This window comes from Homo sapiens, chromosome 15 (genome assembly GCF_000001405.40).
Source record: "Homo sapiens chromosome 15, GRCh38.p14 Primary Assembly".
NCBI classification, from domain to species: Eukaryota; Metazoa; Chordata; class Mammalia; order Primates; family Hominidae; genus Homo; species Homo sapiens.
This window is the reverse complement of record NC_000015.10, coordinates 84,896,140-84,909,536: the sequence shown is the minus strand read 5'-3', so window position 1 is coordinate 84,909,536 and position 13,397 is coordinate 84,896,140. Positions and strand designations below refer to the sequence as shown.

Here is a 13,397-nt window from a genome sequence, read left to right as displayed (position 1 = left end):
AGTCCCACCAGTAGCATCCTCATCCTCCGCACAGGCTGACCTGTTTTTAAATTAGGGTTGGGGCTCCACCATTAGACAATAAGGTCTTTGAAACAGAACAGTGCCTTTATCTCCATTTCCCCTATAATATTTTGCAGTGCAGTAAATGTACAATAGATTTTTGTTGGAAGAAAGAAAGGAAGGATGGATGGAGGCTGGGAGGGAGGGAAAGTGGGATCGTAGGTTGAGGAGGTCACAAAGGAGGGAGCTATTGCAGCGGGACTAGTAAGGGCTGGCTTCCTGGCAGAGGTGGCCTGTGAGGGGCCCTGAAGGAGGAGCGCCTGAGAGGATCATTTGAGCCTAAGCCTTCCTGGAAACTGCTCTTTCTGGGCCCAGAGTCTCTGCAGCACATCAGGGACTAAGGTCTCAGCAGGAGCTGTCCCCATGACCCCTACCCCCACTTCTTGTCCTCAGCTACTCAGTAATTCTATAATTTGGAGGTTCATCTCTAAAAAAAAAAACATACAGAAATATCTTACTTTTGCAAATTTTACAAAATATAGCAAAAACATCTCATGAGGTGAACATTGCTGGGCTCCTCCCGGGCCCCAGGCTTAAGGTTCACTAACTTCCCAGTACGGCGACCTCTGCCCACAGGACTCCTCCCCTCCACCTGGGCCCCCACCATGCCCAGACTCCCCTCTAGCTGGAGTCGCTGGGCGGTGGCTGCTAAAGGCCTCTGGGACCCTGAGTCAAGCTGACCTGAAAGGCAAAGACATCCTTGACCAGCGCCTCCCCAAACACGAAGCTGGAGCCAGCCTTCGTGTAGCTCAGGAAGATCTGAAAGAAAAAAGCAAAACAAACAAAAACAGGCAGTGAGGCTGGGAAGGGAGGAGGGAGGAAGCAGCGGCCAGAGACAGGCGGGTTGGCCCAGGGACGTAGTCCCCCCAGGCCCTTATCCGGGGGGGGGCACCACCTGGCAAGGTGCGTTAAAGCTGCTGTCACGGGCACTCACTCCTAAGCATATTTGCCAAAGAGACACCTTTTTGGTCAATTTTAAAGATATGCTCTGCAGGCTGGGTGCAGTGGCTCACACCTGTAATCTCAGCACTTTGGGAGGCTGAGGCAGGCGGATCACCTGAGGTCAGGAGTTCGAAACCAGCTTGGCAAACATGGTGAAACCCCATATCTGCTAAAAATACAAAAATTACCTGAGCATGGTGGTGGGCACCTGTAATCCCAGCTACTTGGGAGGCTGAGGCAGGAGAATCGCTTGAACCCGGGAGGCAGAGGTTGCAGTGAGCCAAGATTGCGCCACTGCACTGCAGCCTGGGCAACAGAGCGAGACTCTGTCTCAAAAAAAAAAAAAAAAAAAAAAAGAAATGCTCTGGGAGTTATTAGGACAATAAAGAAGAGATAACAGAAGAAGTAACCATGAGACATGTGAAGAAGGCAGTGCCTCTTGTGCCGCTCAGGCCCCTGACAACCAACGGCAAAGTCTCCCCTCATCTTGTCCCCATCCCGGGCTTGTGGCCTTGGAGTCTGAGCCCAGCCATGCTTCTACAGGAGACCTGTGTTATATCCTGAACTTGCAATGTGACTGCAGGGGCAGCAAGTCATTTCTCTTGTTCAGGCCTCAGTGTTCCCATCTATAAAATGGGGACATGACCAGAAAAGAAACTCTCTGTCTTTTCCTCCACACCCTGTACAGTTACTGTCAGTGAGGCCAGCAGGTGTGCACATTCCTGGACCGGCAGGGTTCTCATGCTCCACCCTGCACAGAGCACAGGGAACTGCAAGCTGGTGAGAGGGAGGTGAGTAGATTAACATATTTAACCTATGTCCTTGATGATTTATATTTTTTAAAGTGGTAAAAATACAAAAATTAGCCAGGTGTAGTGGCTCATGCCTAGAGTCCCAGCTACTTGGGAGGCTGAGGTGGGAAGTTCCCTTGATTCCAGGAGGTCGAGGCTGCAATGAGCTAAGATCACGCCACTGCACTCCAGCCTGAGTGATGGAAGTGAAATCCTGTCTCAAAACTAAACTAAACTAAACTAAACTAAAATTAAAAAAAGGCCAGCATGGTGGCTTATGCCTATAATCCCAGCACTTTGGGAGGCCAAGGCGGGCAGATTACTTGAGCCCAGGACTTCAAGACCAGCCTTGGCAACATGGTAAAACCCCATCTCTACCAAAAATAGAAAAATTAGCTAGTCTCATAACCTGGTTTCAAAATAAATAAACAAATAAATAGATTTAAAAAAAATTCTAAGTGTTAAATAAAGGAGACCATTAGTTTAGACTGAGCTCCTGCACTACTCCCAACAGACCAAACCACAATGGAATCACTCATGCTATAAAGTTCCACATCACAAGTCAAAACTAAGCTGTCTTCTGACCTTCCAAAAAATCAGGAGAATGAGACAGATAGCCAAATCCCCAAATGCAGCATGACAGGCAGTCCCCTCAGCTGTGACCTTTATAAGGAAAGTGACCTTGAAACAACCAATCTGCTATTTATTTTCTGTTTCTGCTTTCTTCAGCCTTTCTCTGTCTATAAAGCCAACCTCCTCCACTCAACTCATCGGAACACCCACTCTATTTTTATAGAATGAGGTGTTGCCTAATTCTAAAATCACAAATAAAAGCCAATTAAGATCTTTAAACTAAATTTGTTCTAATTTTCTTTTGACAAAAGTAAATCATGATAGTTGCAAAACAAGTGTGCATGAATTTAATGATACTTAAAGGGGTTAAAATGGTTGATTTTATGTTATGTATATTTTACCAAAATAAAAAACAGAATTGGCTGGGCACCGTGGCTCAAGGTGAGATCACTTGAGCCCAGGAGTTTGAGACCAGCCTGGGCAACATAGGGAGACCCTGTACCTAAAAAAAAAAAAGAAAGGAAGGAAGGAAGAAAGGAAGGAGGGAAGGAAGGAAGGAAGGAAGGAAGGAAGGAAGGAAGGAAGGAAGGAAGGAAGAAAGAAAGAGAAAGAAAGAAAGAAAGAAAGAAAGAAAGAAAGAAACAAACAAACAAACAAACAAACAAACAAACCATGTTTTAATTAGCTTGGCATGGTGGCTTACACCTGTAGTCCCAGCTACTCAATACTGGGGAGGCTGAGGTGGGAGGATCACTTGAGCCCAGGATGTCAACGCTGCAGTGAGCCATATCCACACCACTGCACTCAGCCTGGATGTCAAAGCAAGACTGTCTCAAAACAAAACAAAATGGGCCCAGGTGTGGTGGCTTACACCTGTAATCCCAGCACTTTGGGAGGCCGAGGCAAGCGAATCGTCTGAGGTCAGGAGTTCGAGACCAGCCTGGCCAACATGGTGAAACCCTGTCTGTACTAAAAATATAAACATTAGCCAGGCATGGTGGTGGGAGCCTGTAATCCCAGCTACTGGGCAGGCTGAGGCAGGAGAATTGCTTGAACCAGGGAGGTGGAGGTTGCAGCAAGCCAAGATTGCACCACTGCACTCCAGCCTGGGTGACAAAGCGAGACTCCTTCTTGAAAGAAAAAAAAAAAAAAGAACAAAAATGTATAACTTCAATAAACGTTATTTTTAAACACACACACACAGAAGTAAATCATTTGCAGATTTGGGTTTTTTTTTTTAGCACTTTTAACTATTACAATTTCCAAGTTACTGCTGATTGCAGACCCAGCCTCTGGAAAGACTACTCTATTGGGACCTCAGTACCAGGCATGAGGGAAGTGGCAGCTGCACTGCCTGGTCCCCAGCTGCCCACCTGGTCTGGGGCCCCAGTCCACCCCACCCTCCAGGTCCCAAGCCTTCTCTATGGCCTCACCACCCACTTTTCCCCCTGCCAAGTGGCTTCTCCCCTACTCCCAGTAATCTAAGATGCTCTGGGCAGCCAGACCCCACATACCTACCCGGATCTGCTCGCCCAGCCACTCGAACGCAATGAATCCTGGTTCTGTTCTGATGACGAGGAGTCCAAGTACAAACTGCAGTCCAAGTCCCCAAGACACGGCCCTCCAGGACACCTACCACCCCACCCAACAGAAAGCTGAGTTCAGTTCCTTGAGGGATGGGCAGGGAGCCGGGTGGGGGTGAGAGCAGGGGGCATTGCCCTGCCCAGAGGATGGGGCTGGAGCCAGGCAGAGTACTAGGCCTGTTGCCAGTGGTCACACCCTCCCTGGGATTCAGAACAGGCCATGTGCTTGGTAGGAATGGGCCTGGGCAGTGAGGAGGGGTGGGCCAAGATTCTAACCAAGAACTCAGGTGAAACCGGACCAGCCTTGGGCATGCCATGGCACTTCGTCTCCTGGTCATCACTGCCAGAGATGTGGCCTGGGGGTCTGGCCTCAGGATCAGCACCAGACTACTCTGGGCCCAGCTCCTCCCAGCTCGTGTGAACCCTGTCTGCCTGACCGTCTCCAATCTCTCCTCCAATAGGCTGGACTCCCAGCCGCCTCGACCCCGACTCTCTCCATGCCCACACCCCACGCCCCTCCTAGCAGACAAGAGCTGGGCTCCTCAGGTTGCTGTTCCTTGATGAGCATTTAATAATTCCTTAGCAGTGAGTCCAAGCTCAGGTGTGTATCATAAGCTCCTGGGAGGCTTGGCTGTAGCCTGGGGAAGGTGGTAGCCACACTGTGAAACAGGGAGGGATCTTATGCTATGGAGGCAGAGAGAGAGAAGATTCCATCTGCCTATGGCAGGGCCCTCCCAAATGGGTGCGTGGCTGCCTGAGTGTACATCAGAATTTAGTACACATCAGAATTTAGTACACATCAGAATTTAGTACACATCAGAATTGTGCTTGCTGACAGGATGATTGCTGCCCTTGCCCCTGAGTTTCTAATGCAGTGGGCCTAGGGTGGGGCCTAAGAAGTTACATTTCTGGCAAGTTCCATGGAGGCGCCGCTGTTGCTGGACTGGGGAGCAGACTTTGAGAAGCACTATTTTAAGCTAATGATTCCAGGAAACCCTTGGCTCTGCAGACAGGCTGGAGTTCTGGCCTGTGTTTTCTGTGGTTGGGGGTGGAGGTGGTTCCTGAGCCTACAGACCTGAAGACCAGGATTAGACTGACCAGAGGACATGTCACCAAGGAAACAAATGTCCTGGTGGCCTCTGAGTCTGGAAAGACATCCCTGCTGGGGATTTTGAAGACTTCTTCTTCACAGGAAGCCTATCCTGATACACACAGGCCTTCTCCAGGCCCTGAGCCTCCAGGGCTCTCCCAACAGGAACATCTGCCTATACCCCAGCTCCCAGATCCAGCCTAGGGGCAGAAGAGAGAGGCAAACACTTCCAGCCCTGGGCCCCACAACTAGCACTCACTGCGCAATGATGCTTTGAGCAGGCAAAGAGGAGAGCGACGAACACGCAGATTCCTGCGAAGGACACCAGTTGCTCAGGCCGCTGGGAGGTGTCCAGAGACAGCCACAGGACCAGGCCCAGGAAAGCAGCAAGAGCTAGACCCCTGCAGGCAAGAGACAGAAAGCCATTACCCTCAGCATTGCACCCCCACCCCACCCACACACAATAGCACCCGGGGACCCAGAGAAAGGGTGCTCAGGGCTGGGAGGAGGAGAAACAGCACAGCAGAGTGGAAAGAGCACCAGCTCTGGAACCACATGCTGGGAAGGGCTGACCTCGCTGTGTGACCTCAGGCAGATCACCTTGCCTCTCTGAGTCTAGTTTCCTCATGGGTCAAATGAAGCCAGAGACCCCTCATTTCTCAAGGTTGTTGAGAGGATTATATAAGGGGATATATGTACCAAGCTGAGCATAGTGACAAGCACCTGGCTCCATCCAGCTACAGGAATCTCACCGCTGCAGTGATGCTCAGCTCAGCCTCTGACCTTGGGGGAGAAAGGACCTGTGCCACCCAGGACTCAACACTACCAGCCATGACTGCAAAATGCCTAGAAGCATGTGATGTGAGTTTGGACCTCCAAGCTGAGCACCTGAGACCAAGGAACGGATCCTACCTTAACAGCAACACTTCCCTCCCTGGGGCTGGGATTTGTTTGTCCAGGATGCACCCTGAAGGGTGGGAGAATTCAGGTTTTGGCATCAGGTACTCAAGATCTCACCCCAATCCGGTCATCAATTCACTGGGTACTACTAATGACAGTTAACGTTCATTGAGCACCTATTATATGCCAGGTACTATACCGATGCGAGAGACATGTTCTTTTGATAGAGATGAGGAAACTGAGGCACAGAGAGGTTAAATAACTGGCCCAAGGCCACTCATCTAGAAAGTGGCAGAGCTGAGATTTCAACCCAGGCACTCTGGAAGCAAGGTCTATTCACTTAACTACAGTTTTATCCAGGCCGGTCCTAGCTGATAAGCAGGAGATCGAAGAGCTGAACTCAAGCAGGCTAATTCCAGAGCCTACTGCTTTTCTTTCTGCTCATATTTTTAAACTCTTCTCATTCCAGTTCAACATGCACAATCTTTGCCTTGTTTTTGTGCCAACTGTACCTCTCTTTACTTACTATTTCTCTTGAGGTTAACTGACTTTATAAGAACTCAAATGTGGCTGGGCGCAGTGGCTCATGCCTGTAATCCCAGTACTTTAGGAGGCCAAGGTGGGTGGATCACCTGAGGTCAGGCATTCGAGACCAGCCTGGCCACCATGGTGAAACCCCATCTCTACTAAAAATTCAAAAATTAGCCGAGCGTGGCAGTGGGTGCCTGTAGTCCCAGCTACTTGGGAGGCTGAGGCAGGAGAATCACTTGAATCTGGGAGGCAGAGGTTGCAGTGAGCCAAGATCGCACTACGGCACTCCAGCCTGGGTGACAGAGCAAGACGCCATCTCAAAAAAAAAAAAAAAACTTAAATGCTTGTCTCAGATTTTTTATTTTTAACAGCTTTATTAGAGGTATGGTTGATATATAATCAATTGCACATATTGGAGGTGTTCAATTTGATACGTTTTGGCATACGTATACTCCTTGAAACCATCACCGCAATCAAGAGAGTGAACGTATCCATCACACCTTTAGTAATCCTTGCCTCCCTCCCCGTTCCCAGGTAACAGTTGATATGTTTTCTGCCACTAGATTAGTCTGCATTTTTTTTTTTTTGAGACAAAGTCTCATTCCATTGCTCAAGCTGCAGTGCAGTGGCACGATCTCGGCTCACTGCAACCTCCACCTCCGGGGTTTAAGCGCTTTTCCTGCCTCAGCTTCCCAAGTAGCTGGGACTACAGGGATGCACCCCCATGCCCAGCTAATTTTTGTATTTTTAGAAGAGATGGGATTTCACCATGTTGGCCAGGCTGGTCTTGAATTTCTGACCTCAAGTGATCTGCCCGCCTCAGCCTCCCAAAGTGCTGGGATTATAGGTGTGAGCCACCGCACCCTGCCTACTTTGCATTTTTAAGAATTTTATATAAATTTTTAAAAAAGAAAAGAAAGAAGTTTATATAAATAGAACCATACAGTACGTGTCCTTTTTTGTTTGACTTCTTTCACTTAGTGTAATTATTTTGAGATTTATCTAGGTTTCTGCATGATTCACTAGTCTGTTTCATCTTATTGCTGAGTAGTATTCCATTATATGGATATACCACACTTTGCTTATCAGTTCACCTATTGATGGACATTTTGGTGATTTCCAGTTTTCGGCTATTGCAGATAAAGCCGCTATGAACATTCAAAACTTCATGTGCAAGTCTTTGTGTGGATATATGCTTTTATTTCTCTTGGGTAAATGCCTATAAGTGAAATAGGTAGATTACATGATAGGCCTGGAAAGTGCCAATCTGTTTTCTACAGCAATTGTGCAATTTTATATTCCCACCAGCAGTATATAAAAATTTCAGTTCCTCTATATCCTTGCCAACACTTGATATGGTTAGTCTTCTGAATTCTACCCATTCTAATCAGCATATGGTAATATCTCTTTCTGCTTTTAACTTGCATTTCTCTACTGATAAATGATGTTGAGCATCTTACCATGTACTTATTTGCCACTTAGGCATCTTCTTTAAATGTCTGTTCATATCTTGAGCCTTTTTTTGTTTTTTGTTTGTTTGTTTGTTTTTTGTTTTTTTGAGATGGAGTATCGCTCTGTCACACAGGCTGGAGTGCAGAGGCACAAGATCCTGGCTCACTACAACTTCCACCTCCTGGGTTCGAGCAATTCTCCTGCCTCAGTCTCCCAAGTGGCTGGGACTACAGGTGCCCGTCACCATATCTGGCTAATTTTTGTATTTTTAGTAGAGATGGGGTTTCACCATATTGGCCAGGCTGGTTTTGAACTCCTGACCTCAGGGGATCCACCCACCCTTGGCCTCCCAAAGTGCTGGGGTTATAGGCGTGAGCCACTGCTCTTGGCCTTGAGCTCATTTTAAAATTAGGTTATTTTTCTTATTAAAGATTTATGACAAGGCCAGGCACCGTGGCTCTGCCTCCCACGTTCAAGCGATTCTTCTGCCTCAGCCTCCTGAGTAGCTGGGACTACAGGTGTGCGCCACTACGCCCAGCTAATTTTTGTATTTTTAGTAGAGACAGGGTTTCACTCTGTTGGTCAGGCTGGTCCCAATCTCTTGACCTCGTGATCTGCCTGCCTCAGCCTCCCAAAGTGCTGGGATTACAGGCGTGAGCCACCACACCTGGCCTAAGTTAATTAAATTTTAATCAACTAACTTCCTTCCTTCCTTCCTTCCTTCCTTCCTTCCTTCCTTCCTTGCCTTTCACCCTTCCCCTTCCCTTTCCCCTTCCCCTTCCCTTTCTGTCTGTCTTTTTTGAGGCAGGGTCTGCTTTGTTGCCCAGGCTGGAGTGCAGTGACATATAGGCATATTGTGCATAGCTCACTGCAGTCTCGACCTTCTGTGCTCAGGTGATCCTCCTACCTTAGCCTCTCAAGTAACTGGGATCACAGGTGCACACCACCATACCTGGCTAATTTATTTATCTATTTTTTTGTAGAGATGGGGTCTTATGATGTTACTCGGGCTGGTCTCAAACTCCTGGGCTTAAGCAGTCCTCCTAGCTCAGCCTCACAAAGTGCTGAAATTACAGGGATTAGCCACTGCGCCTGACCCCATTTCTTTTTGTAGAACCAGGTTTCTGTCTAGTAGCATTTTCCTTCTCTTCGAAGAATTTCCTTTAACATTTCTTTCTTTCTTCTTCTTCTTTTTTTTTTTTTTTTTTTTTTTGAGACAGTGTCTCACTCTGTCTCCCAGGCTGAAGTGCAGTGGCATTTCTTTCTTCCTTTTTTCCTTTTTTTTGAGACAGTGTCTCACTCTGTCTCCCAGGCTGGAGTGCAGTGGCGTGATCTCGGCTCACTGCAACCTCCACCTCCCAGGTTCAAGCAATTCTTGTCCCTCAGCCACCCAAGTGTAATAGCTGATACTACAGGCGCATGCCACCATGCCTGGCTAATTTTTTTATATATATATTTTTATTAGAGACAGGGTTTCACCATATTGCTCAGGCTGGTCTTGAACTCCTGGGCTTAAGTGATCTGTCCAACTCGGCCTCCCAAATTGCTGGGATTATAGACACGAGCTACCACACCTGGCCGGCAGGCTTGCTTGCCTGCCTGCCTGCCTGCCTGCCTTTTTCTTTTCCTTCCTTCCTTCCTTCCTTCTTTCCTTCCTTCCTTCCTTCCTTCCTTTCTTTCTTTCTTTCCCTCTTTCCCTCTTTCTCTTTCTTTCTTTCTTTCTGCCTTAGTATCTCCCTCTATCGCCCAGGCAGCAGTCAGTGGCGCGATCATGGCTCACTGCAGCCTATGTCTCCCAAGCTGAAGCGATCCTCCTTTCTCAGCTTCCCAAGCAGCTGGGACTACAGGTGTGAGCCACTCCTTTAGCATTTCTTGTAGCGTAAATCTGCTTTTTATGTCTGAAAAATTATTTCAGCTTTTGTATGACTGAAAGAGTTCTTATTTCCTCTTCTTTTTTGAAATACATTTCACTGGTAAAGAATTCTAGGTTGACAGCCTTTTGGGTATTTGCTATTGTTTACTGTTCCATTATTTTCTCACTCATTTTTGACAAGAAATCTGCTAGTAATCCATTTCTGCTCCTCTGCACGTCTTTTTTCTCTAGTTGCTGTTAAGGTTTTATCACTGATTTTAAGTAATTTGATTATTGCCTTGGTATAGTCTTCATGTTTCTTGTGCTGGGGGTTCATGAAATTTCTTTAATCTTTGGGTGTCCAATTGTCATCCTATTTGGATTTTTTTTTTGGACATAATTTCGTCAAATATTTTTTTTCTGCCCTCCTTCTCCTCTGGAGACTTCAATTGTGTATATTTGCCACTGAAGTTGTGCCGTGGTTAACTGATGCTCTGTTTGAATTTTTTCAGGTTTTGTCTTTAAGATGTGTTAGGCAGGGCCTGAGAAGCATTTATTCTAGAGTTGATTTTTTTTTTCTCTGCTACTGAGCCAAAACCTTCTTAGTACGCTAAACAATGCCCTGTGAATTCTGAGGTTTATTCACCTGTCAGGAATAGACACTATTCCTGGCCCTGTGTGATTCCAGGTATGATTCCCTCTTCTCCTTTTGGGTGGTTCTTTCCTAGCCCTAGGGTAGTTTCCTTGTCTGTATTCTCTGAGCAGAACTCAACTGCATGTTCAAGGATTCTCTGCATACCTCTGGGCTTTGCTCTGTGATCTCTCAACTGTGTCTCTGTGCTCTGCAACGTGAACCCTGCCTGCCATGGCTTCCCTGGATTTCCAGCTCTGTCTCTTCAACTTAGGGAATCTCCTGGTCCCACCTCAGTTTTCCTTCCCTGTGCTGTGGTCTGGAAACGCTCTCCAGGCAGTCAGCTGGGGAGACCGTAGGGCTAAACTCATTTGTTTCCTAATCCTCAAGGATCAGTGTCCTTTATTGCCTGATGTCCAACATCTAAGAGCTCTTGTCTCATGTATTCATTCCAGTTTTTTAGCTGTTTCAACTGGGAGGATAAACCTGGTCTCTGTTACCACATCTTAACTGGGAGCCAAAATCAAATGCATGTATTTTTTTTTTTTTTTTGGTGATGGAGTCTTGCTCTGTCGCCCAGGCTGGAGTGCAGTGGCGAGATCTCAGCTCACTGCAAGCTCTGCCTCCTGGGTTCACACCATTCTCCTGCCTCAGCTTCCTGAGTAGCTGGGACTACAGGCGCCCGCCACCACGCCTGGCTAATTTTTTTGTATTTTTAGTAGAGATGTGGTTTCACCATGTTAGCCAGGATGGTCAGGATCTCCTGACCTCGTGATCTACCCACCTCGCCCTCCCAAAGTGTTGGGATTACAGGCGTGAGCCACCGCACCCGACCAAATGCATGCATCTTCTAACAGCTTTATTGAGACAAAATTTACATGTCATACAATTTGCCCATTTACAGTGCATGGTTCAAGGATAGAAGTTCCTCACAAAACTAAAAATAGGACTACCATATGATTCGGTAATTCCACTACTGGGTATATATGAAAAAAAAAAAAAGGAAATCAATATATTGAAAAGACACCTGCACTCCATGTTTATTGCAGCATGATTCCCAATAGCCAAACTATGGAATCAACCTAGGTGCTCATCAACAGATGAATGGATAAAGAAAATGTGGTGTATATACACAATGGAATATTATTCAGCCATAAAAAAACAATGAAATCCTGTTATTTGCAGCAACATGGATGGAATTGGAGGTCATTATGTTAAGTGAAATAAGCCAAGCACAGAAAGACAAATACTGTGTGTTCCCACTCATGTGTGGGAGCTTAAAAAGTACATCTTATGAAGATAGACAGTAGTTTGGTGGTTACCAGAGACTCTGAAGGGGAGGAGGGAGGCGGGATGACGAGTAGTTGATTAATGGGTACAAATATACAGTTTGAGAGAAGAAATAAGACCTAGTGACAGATAGATCAGTAAGGTGGCTACAGTGTACAATAATGTATTGCATATTTCAAAATAGCTAGGAGAATTTGAATAGTTCTAACATAAAGAAAGACAAATATTTAAGTTGATGGATATCCCAAGTACACTGATTTGATCTTTACAAATTATATGAATGTATTAAATTATCACATATACCCTGAAACTATGCACATTTATTAGGCTGGTGCAAAATTTTTTGCATAATGGCAAAACCACAATTACTTCTGCACCAATCTAATAATACTATGCAGCAATTTTTAAAAGTGTATTTTTGTTTGTTTGTTTGTTTGGTTTGGATTTTTTTTTTCTGAGACGGAGTCTCGCTCTGTCACCCAGGCTGGAGTGCAGTGGTGCAATGTTGGCTCACTGCAACCTCTGCCTCCCGGGTTCAAGTGATTCTCTTGCCTCTGCCTCCTGAGTAGCTGCAATTACAGGCGCGTACCACCACACTCAGCCATTTTTTTTTTTTTTTTGCTATTTTTAGTAGAGACAGGGTTTCACCGTGTTAGCCAGGATGGTCTCCATCTCCTGACCTCATGATCCACCCACCTCAGCCTCCCAAAGTGCTGGGATTACAGGCGTGAGCCACCGTGCCTGGCCAAAAGTGTATGGTTTAATGGTTTTTAGTATAGTTACAGATTTGTGCAACCATTACCATAATCCTAGGATATTTTCATCAGCCCAAAGAGAAACCCCAAACCACTGGTGGTCACCACCTCCTCTTCCCATCCGCCCTAGCAGTCACTAATCAACTCTCTGTCTCCACAGATTTGCCCATTCTGGACATTTCATATAAATGGAATCATGCCGTATATGGTTCTTTAAGACTGGTTTCTTTCACTGAGCATGATGTTCCCAAGGTTTATCATTATTGCAGTATTTATCAATACTACATTCCTTTTCATGACTGAATAATATTCTATTGTATGGATATATAGATTTTCTTTATCCATTTTTCAGTTTATAGACATATGGGTAGTTTTCACTACAGAGTAGCTGGGATTACAGGCGCCCAACACCATGCCTGGCTAATTTTTGTATTTTTAGTAGAGACAGGGTTTCGCCATGTTGGCCAGGCTGGTCTCAAACTCCTGACCTCATGATCCACCCACCTCGGCCTCCCAAAGTGCTGGGATTACGGGCATGAGCCACCGTGCCCGGCCAGCCTAACCATTTTCTAAAGCAACTGCACTGTTTCGCATTTCCACCAGCAGTGTCTAAGGGTTTCAATTTCTCCATATCTTTGCCATCACTTGTTATCATCTGTCTTATTGATTATGGCCATCTGACTGAATATGAAGTGGTATCTTATTGTGGCTTTGCTTTGCATTTCCATGATGGCTACTGATGTTGAGCACATTTGCATGAGCTTTTTGGCTAAAGCAAAACCTTTTATCATTCATCAAATGGGTTGTCTTTTTATGGTTGAGTTGTAATTCTGCATACAGTTTCTTTATGCAGACATATGATTTGTACATCTTTTCTCTCATTCCGTGAGTTGTCTTTTCACTTTTTTGATAGTGTGTGTTGCATCAGAAAGTTTTTAGCTTTTATG

General features: G+C 46.0%; 1 protein-coding gene across 22 annotated transcripts in view; it reads right to left on the bottom strand.

Moving 5' to 3' along the window:
* Positions 1-13,397, bottom strand: part of SLC28A1 (solute carrier family 28 member 1) — a 90,988-nt gene that overhangs the window by 66,113 nt on the left and 11,478 nt on the right. For 21 of the 22 annotated variants that reach the window (XR_931945.3, NM_001321722.2, NM_001321721.2 and 18 more), the window contains 3 exons: positions 5,299-5,440; positions 3,885-3,998; positions 742-819 (listed from right to left, as the gene is read on the bottom strand). Coding sequence is in view for 21 of the 22 variants with exons in the window: in NM_001321722.2 (NP_001308651.1) it covers positions 742-819; positions 3,885-3,998; positions 5,299-5,440 (334 nt within the window). In the remaining variant the exon portion in view is untranslated. The remainder of the gene's footprint in view (positions 1-741; positions 820-3,884; positions 3,999-5,298; positions 5,441-13,397) is intronic. The other variant, XM_011522209.3, reaches the window with a different exon arrangement.